Source organism: Homo sapiens, chromosome 1 (genome assembly GCF_000001405.40).
Source record: "Homo sapiens chromosome 1, GRCh38.p14 Primary Assembly".
NCBI classification, from domain to species: Eukaryota; Metazoa; Chordata; class Mammalia; order Primates; family Hominidae; genus Homo; species Homo sapiens.
The window spans coordinates 242,405,835-242,429,382 of record NC_000001.11 but is presented as its reverse complement, the minus strand read 5'-3'; the positions used below and the strand labels follow the sequence as shown (position 1 = coordinate 242,429,382).

The window sequence follows — 23,548 nt, the reverse complement described above, 5'->3', positions numbered from 1 at the left end:
TTGTTAATTACAGTCCCCACAATTAAACTTAGGTTGCTAATTTGCTTTCTTGTGGTTTAAATTATTCCCGGTAAGCTTGCATTCTTGCTCCTGAGTTAAATGCACAAGTGTTTTGCCAAACTGAAGTTAAATTGCTCTTTGGCAGATGTTAAAGTTGGACCAACATCCAGGGAAATTCTGTTTGGCTTTGAGGGTTATTGGAACTTTTTCAAGATCAAGCTTTCCTTTTCATTTCAATATTATTCGTGGCATTCCGATTTCTCATCAGATGACTTTTTCGTGGTCATTCAACTTTGAACTGTAGCTCGCTGTTCACAGAACCATGGCATCATGAGGCTTGAAGGGACTGTGAAATGTCATCCAGCCTGACAGGGCCACATCCATCTTTAGAGGAGATGGACGGTCTGTGCCTGAGACAGAGCTGAGAACCTTTGCCTGGAAGCCTCAACATTCATCACCGAGGGCAATGACTGCTGACCCTAACTAAAGGAACAATTTTGTGATTTCTTTGTCATGCTTAAATATTTTTCCATTTGTTTCACTAGAGTAAATTTTTATCATCGTGATTTCTTCCCTTCTTGTTCCTTTATCTCCTGTGCTGTTTCTTCTAACCATAAAATCAGTACAATTAAGGGTTGGTTCTACAAGGTTTTTTTTTCTTCTTCTTCTTTGGTATAGAATTACAATATGAGATTACAAAGTACTGAAAAAAATATAGGGTAGGAAGCTTTGGGTTATGGAAGCAGCTGCTTAGGTTAACTGTGACATTTGATGAATAGATAACCTGCAGCTGGGAGCTGAGCTAATTGAGGTCATGCATTATGCTCGTGAATTTGAAAGATAACCTGACATTTTGCAAAGACAGGAGACTTGTCTGGTTAGCCAGTTTAAGGAGTTTCTACAGCAGGGCTGAAGCTCCCATCCCTTTTTTCAACCACTGTTCACTGGTAACTCTGTACCTAGTAAAACAATTTCTGTTTTAGAATAAATATTGGAAGGGTGGTTGAGCTCTTTTTCTAGCCAGAGGATAAATATTTCCTCATATAGAACAAAACTGTGAGACTCTACAATTGGATTATAAGCCAAGGCAGTTGAAGGCAAAATAGGAAGTGATTTTGGCTTTTGTTTCTCTCATCCACCAGATTTCAGTGAAGTGTATTTTCATTTATTTTAAACGCTCACTGTATCAAAGAGTCTAAAATAGTTGTTTCTTGGAGGAGGTTTCAGCATACCTACTTTTCCCTAACAGTCTGTTAGAATTCAGTGTGCTTGCTTAAAATGAAGACAATAAGTGGATAGAAAAAATAACACAGGAGTGTATTTGGAAGTTTCTGGAAATTCTCTAGGGTGAAACTTCCACCATTTTAGCTCTTAAGCTCATAAGGGAATCAGCTCTGTTTCAGTCTGGTTACAATTTTTTTAACCTCCCTGGTCCTACCATCTCTACAGCTCATATTTTTGCTATGTAGACCAGAGAAACACTATTTATCAAGAACATTGAAGAAATTCTGTTAATCATATCTGACTATTAAAATGGGGGAAAAGAATGGGGAAAAAGACAGCTGTCTTTGCAAGCACACATCCGTTTCTGGTGTGCAGTGGCAGTTAAAGTCATCTTTCAAAGGCTCTCTGCTGTCTGTTGGTGCCAGTAGGCAAGATAAAACAATTTTGTCAGCTAATCATCAGTCTGCTCCAGATGATGCACAGACTGGTCTAAGAATAAATACGTTAAAAAGGAAAGCAATTAGCTTTCCATATGGGATGGCGGAGTTTCTGCTTTGTAAAATTTCCAAGAGTTTAAGACCTGCTGATTCAAAAGTATTAAGATGAACTAGAAAGCTTTTCACGTTCCCATCTGCCACCATTGTGCTTTTCACTGTTCCTAGATTTAACATGATATTAAATTGAATCATGGTAGAACAAACCTTTACAAGACTTGATGCTTGTTAATATATCTGACACACAATAATGTAGATAGGTTGGAAGACATGATGCAACTCCTGATGAAAATATAAAGAAATGCACCAAGGTGACAATATTATTTGGTTATATTAATAATTTTGTTATTAGTAAAATATTACTGTTGATATCTTCTGGAGTTACTCTAGAAACTTTCTACAGTATCCTTGAGACTTTTGATCCCCCAAATGAATGACATAATATACTGATAATAACAATTCTAATTCCTAATTATGTGTTGATCAAGGTAATTCTAGCTGTTGTGACATATAAAACTCAAAATATCAGTGAGTTTATAAAATAGACGTTTATTTCTTGCTCAGATAAAGTTTGAGATGAGTTTTCTTGATTGGAAAGTGGCTTTTCTCTAAGTGGTGATTCAGGAACTTAGGCTCCTTCCATCTTTGGCTTTGTGTCCTTCAATGTGTTGCTTCCAAGGTGCTTACTACCTTCAGCAAGCCAATCTGTGGATGGGTAAAAAGCATGGTGGGTTGGGCATGGAAAAGTTCTTACTGGCTAGGCCTGGTGGTGGCGCACATCACTTCTGCTCACATGCCATTGGCTGGAACTCTGGCATATAACTACCCAGAAGGCTGGGAAATGCAGCCTAACAATGTTCCCAAGAAAAAGAAATAGATTTGGTCAACAATTAGTCTCTGCCCCAATGATCTAAGAATAGATTTGTGTAAGCTATAAAAATGTACTTCTTAATTATTGCTTATATTGCATTTCCTGTTTTAAGCTGAGGAGATTTGCCTCACATATATACTTACAGTCATACCCCACATAACAATGTTTGGGTCAGTGACAGAGCACATGTATGATATCAGTCCCGTAAGATCGTAGTGGGCTGAAAAACTCTAATCGCCTAGTGATATTATAGTTGTAATGTGGTGGTGCAATGCATTACTCATGTGTTTGTGGTGATACAGGTGTATCACCTACTGTACTACCAGTCTTACAAAAGCATGGCCCATGCCCTGACATGCAGGGCATAATACTTGATAATGACAGGAAATGGTGATGTTGCTGCTTTATGTATTTACTGTATACTTTTTATTGCTATGTTCGGGTGTACTCCTGTTTGTTAACTTTTTTTTTTTTTTTTTTTTTTAACTGGAAACGGTCTCAGGCAGGTCCTCCAGGAGGTATTTCAGAAGAAGTCATTGTTATATCAGTTGACAGCTCTGTGCGTGTTATTGCTCCTGACTACCTTCCAGTGGGATAAGATGTGGAGGTGGAAGACAGTGACATTGATGATCCTGACCCCGTGTGGGCCTAGGCCAATGTTTGTGTCTCAGTTTTTAACAAAAACGTTTAAAATGTTAAAAATTTAAAATATAGAAAAAAGAATAGGATACAAAGAAGGAAAATATTTTTGTACAACAGTACAATGTGTTTGTATTTTAAGCTAAGTGTTAATACAAGAGTCAAAGTTAAAAAATTAGAAAGTTTATAGACTAAAAAAGTTACAGTAAGCTGGCCGGGTGCAGTGGCTCATGCCTGTAATCCCAGCACTTTGGGAGGCCAATGTGGGCCGATCACAAGGTCAGGAGATCGAGACCATCCTGTCCAACAGGATGAAACCCCATCTCTACTAAAAATACAAAAAAATTAGTCAGGTGTGGTGGCGGGCACCTGTAGTCCCAGCTACTCAGGAGGCTGAGGCAGGAGAATGGTGTGAACCCGGGAGGTGGAACTTAGAGTGAGCTGAGATTGCGCCACTGCACTCCAGCCTGGGTGACAGAGCGAGACTCTGTCTCAAAAAAAAAAAAAAAAAAAAAGTTACAGTAAGCTAAGGTTAATTTATTATTGAAGAAAGAAAAATGTTTAAACACAAATGTAGTGTAGCCTAAGCATATAGTATTTATAAAGTCTATAGTAGTATACAGTAATATCCTAGGCCTTCACATTCACTCACTCTCACTCACTGACTCACCCAGAGCAACTTCCGGTCCTGCAAGCTCCATTTATTGTATGCGCCCTCTACAGGTATACCATTTTAATTGTTTATGCTGTATTTTTAACTGTACTATTTCTTTGTTTAGATACACAAATCCTTACCATTGTGTTATAATTCCCTACGGTATTCAGGACAGTTACATGCTACACAGGTTTGTGGCTGAAGAGCAATAGGCTCTACCATATATCCTGGGAGTGTAGTAGGCTGTGCCATCTAGGTTTGCGCAAGTGCACTCCACGATGTTCATGTAAGGACAAAATCACCTAGTGACACATTTCACAGAACGTATCTCCATCATTAAGCAACAACACATGATTGTATTTTTTTTGGAGACAGAGTCTTGCTCTGCCTCCCAGGCTGGAGTGCAATGGCACCATCTCAGCTCACTGCAACCTCTGCCTCCTGGGTTCAAGTGATTCTCCTACCTCAGCCTCCCTAGTAGCTAGGATTGCAGGCGTGCACAACCACACCCAGCTAATTGTTGTATTTTTAGTACAGACGAGGTTTCACCATCTTGGCCAGGCTGGTCTTGAACTCCTGACCTCAGGTGATCTACCCGTCTTGACCTCCCAAAGTGCTGGGATTACAGGTGTGAGCCACCACGCCCGGTCAGCAACACATGATTGTATTTTTAAAATACTGGGAAACATTTTGCTCTTTGAGGTTTTTATTCCTGGAAGTGGGAATAGAAAGGAGCTGTCTGTGAGCTGCTGTACAAACATCCTGAAGCAACAAGCTTATTCTCCAGCTTTCGAAAAGCAGTGAGCAATTAGTTTCTAAACGAAGGCCATGACAGTGGACCCCAGAGAGGAAACCCAATTTGGGAGATACTTCTCAGGTGATATGGATAAAACTTGATATCTCAGTGGATTTGAAGTATTAGGGTGACAAAATCACGCTGATTTTTTTTTTTTCTATGAGGGAGCAAGGAAATTTGGAATAAGTTTGGGAAAAGGAGAAGGTGGGATTATAAACTCAGTTTTACACATATGAAATTTCAGGTGGCCAGAGAAAAAATCTGGGCGTATTTTGAAATTTCCTGTGTAATAAGGGCAGATAAAGGACTTGGATCATCTGAATATCAGTCAGGTTTTAGAAGTCATTGCATCAGCTCAGTTTAGTCAGAAAAAAATGTGAGAGGAGAACTGTGTTATGGGACCTCAGGCAAACTGATGGCTAATCAGAGCCATTAGATTTAGTGTTTAGAAGAGACATAGTAACATTATCAGTAGAGCATAGTGGGGTGGGGCAGGAGCCAGATTGAGAGGGATTGTAAAATAAATGGACAATAAGAGGGAGTAAGGGAAGGCATTAGCTGTAGAGAAGGGATTACAAACACTTATCTTCACTCTCATGAGCAGCAATAATGCAAACACTGAGCAGAGTCCAGCCACGGGTGCTCAGCAGTGTTATCACTGTTATTATTGATTATTTCTTCTCTGCTTTTTACATATGAAGAAACGTTGTGAGGAGTTTGTTGGCATCAGTTTCATCTGAGGAAGGAATAGGTAAACTATACTTGCATGAGTAAGATTGTATCAGACAATGATGGCAGTATGAAAATAAACCATTGCCCCTGTGTGTTAGAGTGCCTTTTTCTGGCTTCATTTAACCCATATTCATTGAACCCTTGTTATGTGCTGGGCATTCTGATAGGCAGTGGAGGGGGAGCAGTGAATATGACCATGACCTTCTCGTGGAGCCTAGCATTCCCAGAAATAATGGGAATGTCAATTCTGATAAGGGGATTCCCATACAGGGTGCTATTGATAGCATCTTCTGGTGAGATGGCTGATGGGTTTGTTTATTCTCATTTTTTTAAATAAAGACGGGGTCTCAATATGTTGCCCAGGCTGGTCTTGAGTTCCTGGGCTTGAGTGATCCTCCTACCTCAGCGCTTCACTGTGCCTGGCTATTCCCATTTTATAGATGAAGAAACCGAAGACCAAATAGCGTAAATGATTTACGCAGGGTTACCAGGTCACCAGTGTCTGAGTATAAGTGACATAGCATGCTTCTAATAACTCACGTATTTCGCCACAGTATTCTATCCTTTCAGATATGACACTTCCTGCCCTTCCACTGCACCCCACTTTTATCCATGTACCCCATCTCAGCTTCAAGCTCAGTACAAGGCTTTTCTCTCTAGAACACCTCTTTTATGTCCTATTTTCCTGATGCATTTACATTTATTGTCTGCTGTGCATAGCCATTCCTTATTTTTGTACTTTCTTAGTTTTGATTTGTGGCTATAAATTTTAGCCTTTCGCAGATACCTTTGGTTACTACTTGTTTTGAAATATGCTTTAAAGCTGGATGCAGTGGCTCTCACCTGTAATCTCAGCATTTTGGGAGGTCGAGGCAGGAGGATTGCTTGAGCCCAGGAGTTTAAGACCAGCCTGGGCAACATAGTGAGACTTTGTCGCTACTAAAAATTTAAAAAAAATAGCCAAGTATGGTGGCATGCACCTATAATCCTAGCTACTAGGGAGGCTGAGGTGGGAGGATCACTTGAGCCCAGGAGGTGGAGACTGCAGTGGGCTGTGATTGTGCCACTGCACCCAAGCCTGGGGAACAGAGTGAGACCTTATCTCAAAAAAAAAAAAAAAAAAAAGAGAGAAATACGGTTTATCTGCCTGCCTAGATTGTTACCTCAATGTGGGCAGGAACTTCAGCTTTTGCTGCTTTTTGCTCATAATGCTAAGTACAGGTAGGCAGAAACAGGTCATTTTTCACGTCTAGATTTTCTGTAGCTAACATTGCGCCCCAAAGACTGTGTTCTCAGTCCCGTTTTGTGGACGCCAGGTGTCCAGATTCTGTTGTTATCTGTCCTTGCAAAATCATTTCCCAGAGTGTAATGTAACTTGTGGAAAAATTCAACTCCATTTTTCCTAAATCAATTCCATGATTACCTAGCAAAGTATTACAGTTGCAATCTAGAAGCTAGTATGTAGGTCACATAAGTTATATGTATTTGAAGAACACTTTGAAAATCTTGCCATTACTAGGAAATTTATTATAGTTGGCTATGCATTATCCACTTTTTCTAAAAACATTTTTCAAATTATCTGTGTAAAGTCCTGAGCTACATTTTCTCTCCCCATCCCAAGAAGATGAAATGGAATGCTGACCCTGGTGCGGGAGGCAGCTTTCTGATAGATGGGGTACACCAGCCAAACACTCTTTGCCATGAATCTGGCAGTTTGCTTTGGAACAGATGTTCTCGTTCCCTTCTCCTCCTGCCCTCCCTCCTCATGGTAAATATGTCAGGGGCAGTATATATATATATTTACTGCTTTTCATTTATCTGGGATGAAACCAGTGCTTGAATGAAAACTAAGTGTCTCTAGCAAGAAGGGACAGGCTTACTCATAAAAATACTTAGGAAGCAGATTGAAAAAATGAAGACCTTCTGGAATCAGCCTAAATTAGAATATGTCTGATAATTTCTTAATCAGTCACGCTCCTTCTCTTTTCTTCATTTGAATTTTATTTTGCTTTTAAAATCAAGATGGCGCATGCCCTGCTTTAGGAAAACATGGTATCCTCTGGACACATACTGTTAAACACTCATTTCAGAGAAGGATATTTGCATTTCACAAGGATTCTCCATTTCATCAGATTTTTCTTTCTTTAAAGTTGAGCTCCTTTAATATATTTAAATTTACTGAAAACAACATCATCCACAACAGAAGTACATATAATCTTTAAGGAAACTTGCAGTTGTGTAACACTAAATTTGTAGTAACTAGGACTTAATGTCTGAAACTCTCCTCCAGACCACTGCCATCTAAAAACTTCCCATGGAAGCTTCGTGAAGACCTCCCAACTTTCGTTGATATAGGATTCCAGGGACTGTATGACTATTCACATTTCTTCAATCCCTACCCTATGAAATCCCGTATCTCCTGGTCAGGCTTGGTCGTATGATTTGCTTTGGGAAATGGAACATCAGTAGTATGTGCTGTATCCAACTTCTGAATAGAAGTGTTTGTTGTGATTACAAGGTTCAGATTGACCTTCTCTGCTCCAGTGCTTTCTACCCTAAGAAGGCTGTATCCTGACAGAAGCTGCTCTTTCAGCCTTGGTCCTAGAACAATACGATGCTGGTAACAGACCCAAATCCAACCTACAGCCTGGAATGTCAATGATTTATTTAATAAATCTTTAGAAAATGCTTAGGCATGAATGATACAGCAAAGAACAAAAAGATGTGGTCTTTATTCTCATTCTTCTTAAAATTAAGTAACTGAAACCATCCTTTTTTTTTTTTTTTTTTTTTTTGAGGTGGAGTCTCACTGTCCCCAGGCTAGAGTGCAGTGGCGTGATCTCGGATCACTGCAACCTTCACCTCCAGGGTTCAAGTGATTCTCCTGCTTCAGCCTCCCGAGTAGCTGGGACTACAGGCGCGTGCCACCACGCCCGGCTAATTTTTGTATTTTTAGTAGAGACGGGGTTTCACCATGTTGGTCAGGATGGACTCGATCTCTTGACCTCGTGATCCGCCTGGCTCGGCCTTCCAAAATCCCAAAGGGATTACAGGCGTGAACCACTGCGCCCGGCCAACCACTTTTTAAAATACTAAAATAACTATGAATAAATTGCAAAATGGACATGCATTTTTTGAAGATAAAGGACTAGAATGCTAAGAACTTTCAGAGTTCTGATGGTCTATGTAAAAGGAATTTCTCGAACCTTTGAGCTACATACCACTGCATTCATGCCAGTAGGAAAGTTTTGATGGCATTGACTGGCAGGTGTATATGTAATATGAGTTTGGGGTAAATCATGGACCCAGAAAAGCAGAAGTAGAAAGATAGGGAAGTTGGAGGCATGCAAGTGTATATATCCTTGCAATCCTTAGTTATATCCATGCAAGAGAGGAAATGATAAAAGGCATTAAAGTTGCCATTCAGCTGCATCATAAGAAGTGGGTTCAGAAGTAAACTTAACTACTATTAAGATAATGATGCTTAAGGATGTTTTTAGTATCTAAAGAAAGAATTAAGGAATAACATAGGAGTAGGAAACTGTGTAACGGAGTTGTTGACCCTGGTAGTAGAGTTTGGGGCTGTAAGAATGAAGTGCTGACTTTGCCTACCAGAAACCATTCCCAGCAGGAGATGGAACATGTTGATTGAGGGCGAGGGCTCTAGAGTTCTAGTACCTAGGTTCTGACCTTCATTCTGGGCTTAGTCATTGTGAGAGCTTGGGCAAGTAACTTAATCTTTTTAAATCTCAGTTTTCTTATGCATATGCTGTATCCACCTCATAAAAGCTTTCTGAGTATTAATAAGATCATGTACATAAACCATTTGGAATGGTGCCTGGCTCATTGTAAGTGCTCCATAGGAGATGGTATTATTTGCAATTGAGATAGAAGTGCTCCTTCTACAGCAAGAATCAGGAGCCCTGGAGGTAACAAGTTTATCGAAGAATTTTGTGAGAGTTCCTGGTATAGTCTTATTTCTGGGTCTCAAGCTCCCTAATCAAATACCTGTTTTTACTGGGACTGACTTTTATCATCAGAACATCCCTTAAAGTAGTTGGAAGCTAGCAGCCTTGGATTAAAAGCTGGCTGATAGAATTCAAGTCTCATACAGTGGTGTGAGTTGTGGCACCAAAGCTGTGTTTGAAACATAAGAATGTGGTTGACTTTTCAATCTATTTTTAAAAGGCTGGTGAACTACTTCATTCTTGGGTAGCCCTAGACCTTTACTTCTCCTTGCTGGCAATAAAATTCAGGATGGCCGGGCATGGTGGCTCACGCCTGTAATCCCAGCACTTCGGGAGGCCGAGGCGGGCAGATCATGAGATCAGGAGTTTGAGACCAATCTGACCAACATAGTGAAACCCTGTTTCTACTAAAAAAAAAAAAAAAAAAAAAATGCAAAAAATTTAGCCGGGTGTAGTGGTGTGCGCCTGTAGTCCCAGCTACTCAGGAGGCTGAGGCAGGAGAATTGTGTGAACCCGGGAGGTGGAGGTTGCCATGAGCTGAGATCGCACCATTGCACTCCAGCCTGGGCAACAGTGCGAGACTCTGTCTCCCCCCGCCAAAAAAAAAAAAAAAAAAACAAAAATCAGGACTGCACTCAGCTTGCACTATAAGATGGCTGTATTCATGGAACAGCTTGAAACTACAAGTCATGCGACGAGTCTTTGCCATGACTTTTGTGTCCTCTGCCACCCACTGAGGGAAGTGTCTGCCTTCCCTGATGGCATGAGAAACGTCACGCAGGCTGTAAGAACACGCCACCCAGGCGCCCATCTCATCTCCACACTGAGCATGAGCCACACCCGCCTGGAGGCGTGAGGGTCTAACCACCCTCTTTGGTTACAGATCATCATTTTTTTTTCCTGCCTGTGTCTTAGGAGGATCACAGGAGGTAGCATTAAAGCTTTTCTAAGCATTATTCATGCTACTTGACCCAATGTCTCTGTGTGAAGTCCCACTTATTTAGAAGAACAAGGAACTGCTCCTAGCTCCAGCCAGGGAACTAAAATATTGGTTCTTAGATAATACGTAGATCACAGTGAATCTTTTTTATTTGGAGATTACTATTCCATTTGGTGCTGGCATTGCCACATGACTCTAGGATGAAGGAAACCTATTCTCTGGACCCTTAGTCAAGAACACGTGTCCATAATTTCAGAAACAGCAGAAGTGTTGCTGGAAGGAGCACACTATGGGGTATGATGTGGTGTGGACATTTAAGAGTATCATGCTCAATTCGGTGATGAAATTGTGTGAATAAATTGAGTGCAAGAAAGCCCACACGTTCTCAGTTGCCACTTCACTTAATCTACCAGCAGCATTTGAACTGATACACTAGGTCAGCCCCTCTTCCCAGAAGCACTTTTTTTTGCGGAGTTTCCAAGACTCCCCATTCTCCTGACTTTGCTGTGGTCTCCTTTGCTGATTTTACCTCGTAGTGCTGATGTCTGACTATTGAAGTGACCTGGGGCACTTCTTTTGATGATCCCACCCAAACACCTCCCTGTAAATACCATGTACACACTGACAACTCCAACATTTATTACCTTTAGCTTAGACCTTGCCCCTGAGCTTCAGACACACATCCAATTGTCTATTCGTTTGATGCTTACTTTGTATGTCCAATGGGCATCTCAAGCCTAACACAACCAGATCAAAACTCCTGACCTTCCCCTCTAAAATTAGGTTCTCCTGCAATAATTCTCTTCTCATTAATGGGAAGTCTATCCTTCCAGTTGCTCAGGCTAAAAACCTTAGGGTTTTTCTTGACTCTGTTTGTCCTCTCAGATTTCAGATCCAAGTCTGTAAATAAATACTATAGGATCTATTTCCAAAATATATTCAGAATCTGGCCATTTTTCACCTCTTCTAATGCAACATCCTAGTTTAAACTACATTATGTTTCTCCCCTGGATTGTGGCAAAAGCTTTCTGGTTCTGCCCTTGTCTTTCCAGGTTATTCTCAACACAGCAGCCTAAGTGTCCTTTAGAGTGATAACTACATGACATCACTCACTCTTAGCTGGTGGTTCTTCCTTTAGCATTTGGTTTTCCATTTCACTTGGGGTAAAGCTTGCAATGGCCTACAAGGTCCTGCAGGAGCCTCTTACTGCCTTGGTGATCCTTCCCTGCCACTCCCTTGCTCTATCCCATATCACCTCCCTCCTTGCTCTATCCCATACCACCATCCCCCGTACTGGCCTCTTTCTTCCACAAAAATGCCAAGAACATTCCCACAGCAGGACCTATTGATGCAGGGAAGCAAGCCCCATAACGGGGGCTTAGCCCTGGAGGGCTCTTGACCTCATCCAGGAAGGAATTCAAGGGCATGCTGGTAATGTTAGAGAGCAACTTTTACTGAAGCACCAGTGAACAGCAACAGCATAGGTACTGCTCCTTGTGGAGCAGGGCTACCCCACACACAGTGTGCTTAGTGTAGCAGCTCAGAGGCAGTTCTGCAGCCATATTTATATCCACTTTTAATTACATGCAAACTAAGGGGAGATTATGCAGAAATTTCTAGAACAAGGGTGGTAATTTCTGGGTTGTGAGATTGTTGCCATGGAAAAGGGTGGTAACTTCAGGGTGTTGCCATGGCAATGGTAAACTGACATGGAACACTGGCGGGTGTTTTATGGAAAGATGCTTCCACCCTATCCCTGTTTTAACTAGTCCTCAATTTGGTCCAGTGTCCAAGCCCTGCCTCTGCAGTTGAGTCTTGCCCCCTGAGTTTAGTCCCACCTCCTACCTCTTTATAGCTTGTTCTTCCGTCTGCCTGGAATCTTCTTCCCCCAGATTAACCCCATAGCTAACTTCCTCACCTGCTTCAGATCATTACTTGCAGGTTTTTACACATGGGCTACCTCTTGGTGAACTTTCCCTGGCCATCCTTTAAAATTATAACTCTTTTGGGCTACACTTACAGCCATCTGAAATATTATATATTTTATAGATTTTTTTTAACTACCCTTTCCATCTTTCACAAGAAGGGTGCAGAAATATTTGTTGTGATCACTGCTGTATAAACATTGTCTGTGTACAACAGGGGCTCCAATAAATGTTTACTGAATGGATGAAAGAATGTATGTGAATGCTGCATTGGCATCAGAGTTGGCACATATTTATGAGGCTGACTTTTTGGCATCAAGAGCAAACTGTTCACCAAGGAAGTTACCAGGGGAATCTATTGAATCAATGCCTTTGTTCACAAATAGGAATTTTTGCTTTCATCCAAAGAAACAAGATTTTATTTGTTTTGGTTTTTAATGAGTTTAATTTAGCTGAAAATGTTTCCAGGGCTGTCGACCAATGGCCAGGAAGTCAAGAAGTTGCTCTTTTTTAGCAGAAGGTGAGGTAACGACTTCAAATAGGGTAATTATATTTATTTTGCCATCCTTTAAATTTCATGTTACTAACTGAATTTGTTGAATTCTTGCAGCTCCAAAACTACTGATTATAGATTCATAAAACTAAGAGATCCTAGGCTTCTTCTGGAAGGGTTATATTTGCATATTCTGTGTCATGTAACATACTGAATCCTTCTCTTAAGACACCTGTAGGAAATTATACTTCCTACACTAGTGGTAATCCTTTCCTTTTCTTTTTTAACATTTGACATAGAAAATTTCAAACATAAAAGTATGTAGAAGAGTATAATACAACCTTCATGAATCCATAATGTAGCTTCCAAATTTATCAATGTATGGCCAACCTAATTTCCTTTATAGCTTTTCTGATTATCTTCTATTTTCTTTTTCCCATACTGAGAATCCTAGTCCTCAACAACAATGAAAATTATATATTTAGAATATTACATAATTTTTTTTTGCTCAACCCCACCAAGACACCTGAACTGATCTTAGAAAACAGTAGCCAATACTGCCACCAACAATACAGTTACTGAAAGTTTAAGAGTTTCAACACATCATTTTAACATCAGTTCTTCTGAGTGTAATAATACAAGTACATACACATTTAGGTTAATTTGTTTTGGTTTATGTTAAATTTTTAGGTGTTGCTTTTTACAAAAATAATTTTGCTTTATAATTAATGTAAATAAGTCAAATCCACTAAACAAGATACTTTCACAGAAGTCTAGCTTCCATTCTTGACCATTTCATTCTAGAACTTTCCTTAGGTAACCACTTAAAAAAATCTTGGCCCAGCGCAGTGGCTCATGCCTGTAATCCCAGCACTTTGGGAAGCCGAGGCAGATCACGAGGTCAGGAGATCAAGACCATCCTGGCTAACATGGTGAAACCCCGTCTCTACTAAAAATACAAAAAATTTGGCCGGGCGTGGTGGCGGGTGCCTGTAGTCCCAGCTACTCAGGAGGCTGAGGCAGGAGAATGGTGTGAACCCGGGAGGTGGAGCTTGCAGTGAACCGAGATCTCGCCACTGCACTCCAGCCTGGGCGACAGAGCAAGACTCTGTCTCAAAAAAAAAAAAAAAAAAATCTTTATGGCTTATTCTTCTGTTGTTTTTTGTTAGCTTTTTGCAATTGTTGACTGATGTTTGATGGAATGGGGAGGCCAATGAATGCATGGTGAATTATTTTGATTAAGGGGTAGGTACATCCTCTCTATGAATGTTCCGTAATTGAGTCTACTCTCCTCTGCTGATGGGTTGTTTCTAGGCTTTTGCTGTTTCACAGAGTCCTGCAGTTCATTCTTTTCAGATATATCTTTCTAACCAGTGACTCTTGGGCATCAATTTTTATAGAAGAGGGGTTACTGAGTGAGAGGCTAAACGCATACATAGATTTGTTAGATGCTACCAAATTCTCCTCTGCAGGAATTGTGCCATTTTGGGTTCCTACCTCCAGTCTACATTGCAACGACTATTTCCCTCAGCCTCAACAACAGTGTGTCGCTAAACTTTTGGATTTTTGCAAATGTTATGGGTGAAAAAACTGTACCTCAATGTATTTCTAGTTTGATTTTTCTCATATGGGAATGAAATTGAATCCTTTTTTCATGTGGTGAAGAGATTTGCATTTATTTGCTTGGAAACTGCATTTTCTTCAGTGCATTTTTCTATAGCGTGATTGGTCTTTTTCCTTTTCTATTTTACCAACCCCTTCATCTGTGATACAAGTAGCAAAGATTTTCCTCAATTTGTCATTTGTCTTTTTTCCTTGCTTAGGATGCCTTTTGCCAACAATAGCTTTTTAGTCTTATTTCTATGTAATTAAATTCATCTATGTTTTTTTATTTCTTCTGGATTTTGAGTCACAGTGAGAAAATTCTCCCACGTTATAAAGTGATTCACACACATTTTCTTTTAGTTTTTGTATGGTTAATTTATTTACATCCGAGTCTTTGATGTGTTTGAAATTTATCCTGATGTATTCACTAAGGAAAATGACTATGTTTTTCCCATGTAGCTTTCCTGCTATCCCAGTGCTACTTAGTCTCTAATCTTTCCTTTCCCTCAACTGATCTGAGATACAGCCTTTATTGTATCTTAAATTTGCATTTGTAATTGAGTTGTCCTTTCTAATGCTTATTGACTTGAAAATTATTCATGTATTTGACCTGTATTATTTATGTTTCCATAGAGCCATTTCCTCTGGGTAAAGTGAAGGAATCCTTAATCAGACTCTTTTTCATAGGAGTAAAGGTCAGAGTCAAATTGCCTTTGAGATTTAATAATCTCAAATTTTAATTTTCTCTCTAAAATATTTTTTCTATCTCTGCAGCCTGTAAACAATTAAACACTCAATCCTTTTGCGTTTCACAGATTTTATTTTATTGTCAGTCTTAACTCCCTTTATTTCTCATACTTAATCAGCACATAATCCCAATTTGTCTCCTAATTATTTCTCAAAGCCTTCTCATGCGTTCCTATTTCCAGTTCTTTAGTTTCCACCTTAAGCACATCTCAGCTAGACCATTTTAATAGCGTTTCACTTGACACTTCTGCTTGCAACCTTGCCTCTCTCAGATTTGCCTACTTCACAGCTACCAAAGGGAGTTTTTAAAATAGTAAGCTGACCTGTCTTGTGTTTAATCCCCTGTTATCTGCAGGACAAAAATCTTGGTTCCTTAACAAGTCTGAGGAGCTCTCCCTACTCCTTCTCCTAACTTATTCTCTGCCCTTTGTCCCTCATAAATTAGCCTTTAGCAATCCTATACCACTTATTGGTCATCCAAGGCTCCAAACTGCTTCAGATTGCTTCAAACCTCTGCTGGTGCGCTCAGCTAGTCACTCAGCCTGGGATGCCTGCCTCTTCCTACCTTTCCATCCAGAGGTATCACTTCCTCCATGAAGCTTTTCCTACCCTGATGCTGTCTGCACATCAACTGCACAACTCCAGCCCTGCCCCATGCACTCACATTGTATTAAACTTATATGTAGATGCATTTATCCTTCACTTGACTGGAAGTCGTTTGTGAGTGGGAACAAATCTCTGTGAATGACAAGATTGGTCTCAATGAAAAACAGCCATAATATTCATTGTTCTTGGTATATATCTCTATATATAACATTTACTATATTGTACAGTATAGAGAGCAGTTTGTCCCCCTGCTAGTCTGTGAACATCTTGTGAGATGGAACTTAATTTCATTTGTCCATATATCCCTAAGCCTAGGATAGTCTATCATATGTAATAGGACCTCAAGAAATACAAGTTGCTGGGTAGAAAAAAAAAAAAGAGAGATCATGACGACAAAGGGTTAGAAAAATATGATTTTGGAGAAATAATTGAAATAACTGAGAATGCCAACCTCAAAAAGAAAGAGCATTTTCAAGATAGAGAGGAAAAGGCTGGTCAGAGTGTCAGCATGGAGCTCCAGAAAGCAGAACTGGAGGCAGAGCAGAAACATCACAGAGGGACAGATCACAACTTCCTGCAGAGTAAGCGGAAGGCGCCCTCGGGAACTTGTGAGGCTCATATCACTGGAGGTTTCCAAAACGACAGTTCAGAAACCCCAGTGAGAAATCACTACACACCCACCAGAATGGCCAAAATAAAAACTAGAACACCAAGTGCTGGACAGGATGCAGAGAAACCAAACCACCCATGCATTGGTGGAGGGAACGTAAGACAGTGCAGCCCCTCCAGAAAGTGGTTTCGTAATTTCTTATAAAACTAAACACAGGGTTACCACATGACCTAGCAATTACATGCTTAGGCACTCCTCCCAGAGAAATGAAGACTTGTATTCGCATGAAAATCTGCACAAATGATAATAGCACCTTTTACATTTACAATAGCCAAAAACTGGAATCAGCTCAGAACAGGTGAATGGCTACATAAATTGTGGCACATCCATACCATGGAGTCATCCTACTCTGCAAAAAGAGAAACACCCTTGATACAAATAACAACCTACAAAAATATCAGGGAATGATGCTGAGAGAAAAAAGCGAATCCCCAAAGGTTACGTACTGTACGATTTCATATACATAGTTTTGAAATGACAAAATTAAGAACTGTCCAGTTTCTTGACTGTGGTGGTGAATACGTGAATCAACCAAGGTGATAAAATTATAATAAACACACACCCCAGGACTGCTTGTCCCTGTGCTACTTTTTCTTACACCAAGAAAATCTGAATATGATTGATGGATTGTATCAATGTCAGTATCCTGGTTGTAACATACTGAGAAATAAAAATAAAATTCTAAGCCCCCAACTGAATGGACACCTTCTTGACCAAGGGGACCCCAAACCCTGGAAGCTGAGTTCATGGCCATGATGGGATGGGAGGTGGGACACACCTCATTATGCCCCCTCCCTTACTAACCACCACAAGGCTTTCTTCCCTAAGGGCTAAACAGGAATCAGATCTTTCAAGACTTCATAGTGAGCATTACTAGCTTATCTTCCCAAGTAGAGAATAAAGACAGGATGAGATGAGTCATTCCTTCACCCCTCCCTGAGACATCTGCTTCCTCTCTTCCCTTTTTCTTCAAATGCTCACCTGATTGTGGGTAAAATGTAGATTTACTGAGCACTAACTAAAGTCTCACAGTATGTACCCATTGGTCTCACAGCTCCCTCTCTCCTTTTTTTTTCTTTTTTAAAGGAAAATTATAAGTACTAAACCTCCCAAGAACCTCTTTGGCAAAACACCCACAGGTGCATCTGTGACTTGCATTTTTCTTGGGCCCACCCTCAAGCTGGCTCAATAAACCTTAATTGATTGGGGCACTTGCCTCAGTCATTCATTTTGGTTGTCAATATTATAATTTTGCAAGACGTTGCCAATGGGAGAAACTTGGCAGAGTTTATAGGGAAACGTCTCTTATTTCTTACAACTGCATGTGAATACAATTATCTCAAAAAAATTTCAATTAAAACATTGCAAATGGTCAAAATCATCCTATAAAATTCCTAAAATGTATTATACAGAATTTATGCCCCATATTAGGGGCTAAAATTCAGACTCTCATTAAAGCACAATGCTGAAAGTTAAAACAACAGGCCAGGTGTGGTGGCTCATGCCTGTAATCCCAGCATTTTGGGAGGCTGAGGCAGGTGGATCACGAGGTCAGGAGATCGAGACCACCCTGGCTAACACGGTGAAACCCCGCCTCTACTAAAAATACAAAAAATTAGCCGGGCGTGGTGGCGGGCGCCTGTAGTCCCAGCTACTCGGGAGGCTGAGGCAGGAGAATGGCGTGAACCCGGGAGGCGGAGCTTGCAGTGAGCCGAGATCGTGCCACTGCACTCCAGCCTGGGCGATAGAGCGAGACTCTGTCTCACAAAAACAAAACAAAACAAAAAAACAAAACCACAGGTTGGGCAATCCTTCTCAGGGATTTGTAGAGAGAGAGTGAGCTCATATATCAATTAGAGTTGGAAGGTGTGACCCTCAAGGGGTCCTTCTACTTGAAGAACCTATAATTTTATGATTCTTTCTGTTAATCGTGATTTATTTCTCTTATCAAAGTCATCTTAGATCATCATTTTGTCTTCCAAAATGCTGGCCTAATTTCCATCTTGGAGAAATTTGTATCCCCAAATGGTCTTTTAAAAATACTTTTTTCTTTTTTTTTTCGATTATTGGTAAAAATCAGCATTGGGCACAGAATGAAATTCTGTCCAACACTCTAATTCTGATCAGTTGACTTCCATTCTCTGTCTGTGGGTAGTGCTTGATCACCTAAGACCTACACTGCAGGATCACAGAATCTGAGCATCAAAGAGGACCTTAACCCATTTATGCCTGAGGTTGAAATTTATGCCTGAGGTCACCTGCTTGGCGATGACCTTGAGCAGTAGGATATAAATAACTCCCACATGCTCAGTGTTCCAATAATGGAACGCAAAATACCTAAGCTAAATACCTCCAGCATCACAGGCATCTGGATCAGGTTTTTATGATTTGCTGATGAATGTTCAGTGGGATTTATTAGACTCTCTTTAGTTCCTGGGTGAAAAAAAAAATAGAAAATAGCATTTTGAAATAACAATTTTTAAAACTCTCAACAGTAGGTATCTTAACTCCTTTTCTTCCAGCATGTCAACTAATTGTTTCTTTTCTCCTTTTAAATATGAAGGAGTAAGTTCAAAGCAGTATCTCTAGAGATTGGAAAAAAAAAATGGCATTATATTACAGGAAATATACTCTGGAAAGCCAGTGGGTTTTTTACAGGTGTCTGTCCAGGTATAACTGTGTAGGTAGCCACAGGTTCCTTTGAGTGCTGAGTTTGGGACAGTTCTCATAGTATCTTGGATGTGCTTAGCTGCTCATTCCTCCATTAAGTACCTCAGTTCACATGCATGGACATGCTATTCTTCCGAGGATCCTTAAATTGACCGCAGGAGGAGCCCTAGCTGCTGTTCCCCATTTGATACCCCTTTTCAGCAAGAAGTAGCCAGAAATAGTCGTCGCCCAAAACCCCCTAACAGCAGTTAGGGTGACCTCTCCACAGGGAGGAATATTATAGGAGTTATTAAGACATTATTTTAGGCAGCTAGAGGGGAAAAGGGGTCCTTGGGAAGTTTTCGTTTCTTTTAAAGCGGCTCCAGAAATGTTTCTTGTCTAGCAGGAAAGCCCCAGCTCTAGCCGGCCGGCAACCTTTGATACACAAGTGTGGGCCATTAGAAACTGGGTCCACCCAAACATGGCGATTCCCGTGTCTTCTTGCCTTTGCCTTCACATGTGCCTGGCAACATGGCGCCCCCACATATCCCCAGGTGTGTAGAACATCATGGCGGCCTTCCTTTACATATTAAAAGGCTAGGTTGGGAGGGGCAATTTTTTCATGGGCTACATAAATGACATGCCTGGTCAAACCAATCCCCTGAGCCCAGTGCAAATCAGCCACTGCCTTCTCCAGCCTCCTCATATAACTGGCTGGTTTCCTCTCTGGGGTTTGGAGCCCCCTGTCCTTCCCTCTCTGTATGGGGGAGCTTCTTCCTTCTTTCTTGCCTATTAAACTCTCCGCTCCTTAAAACCATACACACAAAGCACCTCAGTTCAGTACTTAGCCATGTGTTCTGAAAGTGCCTCTGTATTTCAGCCTTGCCTGTCTGCTGGATGCTTTCAGCTTCTGCTTGCACCAATAAGGCAACATGGACAATTTTCCGCTTATGTGATAAATGAGAATGTGAGAAAGAAATTTCTTCCTCCATGCTTACTGTTGGAGTTTGCCATCTTCTTAAATGGGCTTCAAGAATCATCTAGTTCAATTTCCTGCCCAAGTTTAAATTTTTATGAGGATTTATATTCCTTCAAAGTATTTATTGTACTTGCTATGTAGAGAACTGCTAAGATAAATTTTAAAAGATGAAGAAACAGGAAGGTTGTGTCTGACCCAAGGCCAATAAGCTAGTCATGACAAAGTTGGGTCTAGAGCTCATGGATGGAATTTCCCTCCATATAAGCTTAGACTGAAAGGTGCTTCTTGTTTTTCTTTTCTTTTCTTTTCTTTTCTTTTTTTTTTGAGAGGAGTCTTGCTCTTTCACACAGACTGGAGTGCAGTGGCATGATCTTGGCTCACTGCCACCTTCGCCTCCTGGGTTCAAGTGATTCTCCTGCCTCAGCCTCCCGAGTAGCTGGGATTACAGGCACCTGCCACAAAGCCTAGCTAACTTTTGTATTTTTAGTAGAGACAGGGTTTCACCATGTTGGCCAGGCTGGTCTCGAACTCCTGACCTTGTGATCTGCCCATCTCGGCCTCCTAAAGTGCTGGGATTACAGGTGTGAGCCACTGTGCCTGGCCGCTTTTTCTAAAATTTTCAAAGCACTGGTGTGTTAGGCCATTTTTGCATTGCTATAAAGGAATACCTGAGACTGGGTAATCTATAAAGAGAAGAGGTTTATTTGGCTCACAGTTCTGCAGGCTGTACCTGATGCATGACATCAATGTCTGCTTGGCTTCTGGTGAGGCCTCAGGAAGCTTACAGTCATGGAGGAATGTGAAGAAGGAGCAGGTGTGTCACATGGCAAGAGCAGGAACGAGAGAGCAATGAGGGGAGGTGCCACACACTTTCAAATAACCAGATGTTGCACAAACTCAGAGAACTCACTCATCACCAACAGGATGGTGCTAAACCATTCATGAGAGATCAGTTCCATGATGCAAACATCTCCCACCAGGCCCTACTTCCACCATCAGGAATCACATTTCAACCTGAGATTTGGAGGGGACAAACCTCCAAACCATATCAACAGGAACACCATTGTTTTTCTAACTAGTCTCCATAATTATTAACACCTTTCTCTGCCAGGAAAATCTTGTTGACTGCAGAACTTACTCTGTCTTTCATTCCACCTTCTCTGGAACCTGTCCAAGGACAAGTCCACTAAATAATCCTTCATCAAGGCACATTATTCCTCCTCTAGTAAAAACAGCAGGATTTCTAGCTTCCACACAATGTATGCTTTTAAATACATTCATAGGATAAGTTAGTCACTGGAGAAAGTTTATTTTATTTTTAAGTGTTTTGATCATGAAAAGAAATTATGAAGACCCATTTACTTTGAAGTAGCTTTCAGCTATTAAAAAAATAAAAAATATTAATAGCTACGTGCAGTGATGTAGAAGAATCTCAAAGACTTATTAAGTAAGAAAGCAAGCAGCAAAAATATGTATTCTTTGCTTCCCTTTTGTCTTTAAAATCTGTATATTTGGCTGGGCTCAGTGGCTCACACCTGTAATCCCAGCACTTTGGGAGACTGAGGTGGGTGGATCATGAGGTCAGGAGTTTGAGACCATCCTGACCACCATGGTGAAACTCCATCTCTACTAAAAATACAAAAATTAGCCAGGTGTGGTGGCACGCACCTATAATCCCAGCTACTCAGGAGGCTGAGCAGGAGAATCGCTTGAGCCCCATAGGCAGAGGTTGCAGTGAGCTGAGATTGCCCCACTGCACTCCAGTCTGGGTGACAGAGCAAAACTGGGTGACAGAGCAAAACTCCGTCTCAAAAAAAAAAAAAAAAAACAAAACAACCACAACAAAAAAACTATGTATTTGTGTATATGTGTGTATAAAAATGCATGGAGATCTCTACAGAAGTATGGCAGACTGTTAGTCATGATTACCTCTGGAGCATAGTCAGAGGGATAGGAGGAATTTTTGTATAGACTATAATAGATTATACTTCAGTGCTGTGTTTAAAAAGAAGGATGTATTGATATATGTATTAGTCCATTCTTACACTGCTAATAAAGACATACCCAAGACTGGGTAATTTATAAAGGAAAGAGGTTTAATGGACTCACAGTTCCACGTGGTGAACTGAGGGGAGGCCTCACCATCGTGACGGAAAATGAAGGAGGAGCAAAGTCACGTCTTACATGGTGGCAGGTAAAAAAAGCTTGTGCAGGGAAACTCCCCTTTATAAAACCATCAGATCTCATGAGACTTACTCACTATCATGAGAAAGACCCGCCCCCAGGGTTCAATTACCTCCTACCAGGTCCCTCCCACAAGACATGGGAATTATAAGAGCTACATAAAATTCAAGATCAGATTTGGATGGGGACACAGCCAAACCATATCAATATATTCCTTGAGAAACTTTAAAGTCATTGCAGAAACAAAAAGTAGGCAATTTCCCCTCTTACCCCTACAGAACCAAAAACCTAACAATTCATACCTCTGTTAAATGCCTGTTCCAATTTGAAAGTCCTCTTATAGTCTACTAATGGCTAATTGAAGGCTCTTTTATTTGATAGCTAACCAGGACGACCTTCTGAGTATTTTTCTAATCCTAGTTCAATATTCATGGTTAAATGTTATAAAATACATCTTAATTTTAAATTGCATCAAGTTCTCAATTCAGAAATAGTTTTAAACACTATTCTGGAGGAAGTTAGTGTTTGTCTAAAATCTTGATGAAACTGAGCATTTCTCTCAGAACTAATGTCAGAGCTGGTTTCTCTGCAACTTTTCCAGGTTTTCCTAGCTTGTTTATCAAAAGCTTCCTTGGTAGTCAGTAAGAAACCTGGACCACAGATGGTTGGTTTATTCTATTTAACACATGCCTAGTGACGGATCAACCTTTAGGGATCCACAGAATTGCTGGTTGTATATAGGAAGTAAATTTTTCATTAGCCTTTGAGAAGTGTTGATTGTTTTCTTGGGCATAGTTATATTGGTAGACATTTCTGAGTGCCTCACTAAATGCCTTACTGCTGTTAGCTCTCTTAGTGGAGACATGGAAGCAACCGGGGATTGAAATAGGGGAGTTTGTTCATTTTCTCATTCCTTGCATAGTAATTTATGCAGCAGCCTCCAGCGGCCAGGCTCTGTGACAAACCCTGGGTAGACAGAGAAAATGGAGACATGACACCTGGCATTGAGTCACTTACTGTTCAGACCTGAGTAGCAGCTGTCCCTGGGAGGGTGTGATGCATAGGGAAAGGATGCTGTGGGAGCAGAGGACAGGTTTGTATGTCATTCTTGCAACTCATGGTAGGGCTGTTTGGAATGTGAGGCTTTACCTGGGTTTTGGGAGATGAATAAAAGAAAGCAGTGAGAGAAGAGTGCATTTTGGACAGAGAAACACAATTGCAGCTGAGAAACTACAGCCATTTTGCTCAATCATGTGAAACTGTAAAATTGCTAGATTTTTTTTTAGGTCAAAAGTATCATATAGGGCCAGGCTCAGTGGCTCACACCTGTAATCCCAGCACTTTGGGAGGCTGAGGTGGGCAGATCACCTG

General features: G+C 40.7%; 1 protein-coding gene across 6 annotated transcripts in view; it reads left to right on the top strand.

The window, feature by feature from the left end:
• Nucleotides 1-23,548, top strand: part of PLD5 (phospholipase D family member 5) — a 447,561-nt gene that overhangs the window by 101,164 nt on the left and 322,849 nt on the right. The gene's annotated exons all lie outside the window — the stretch shown is intronic.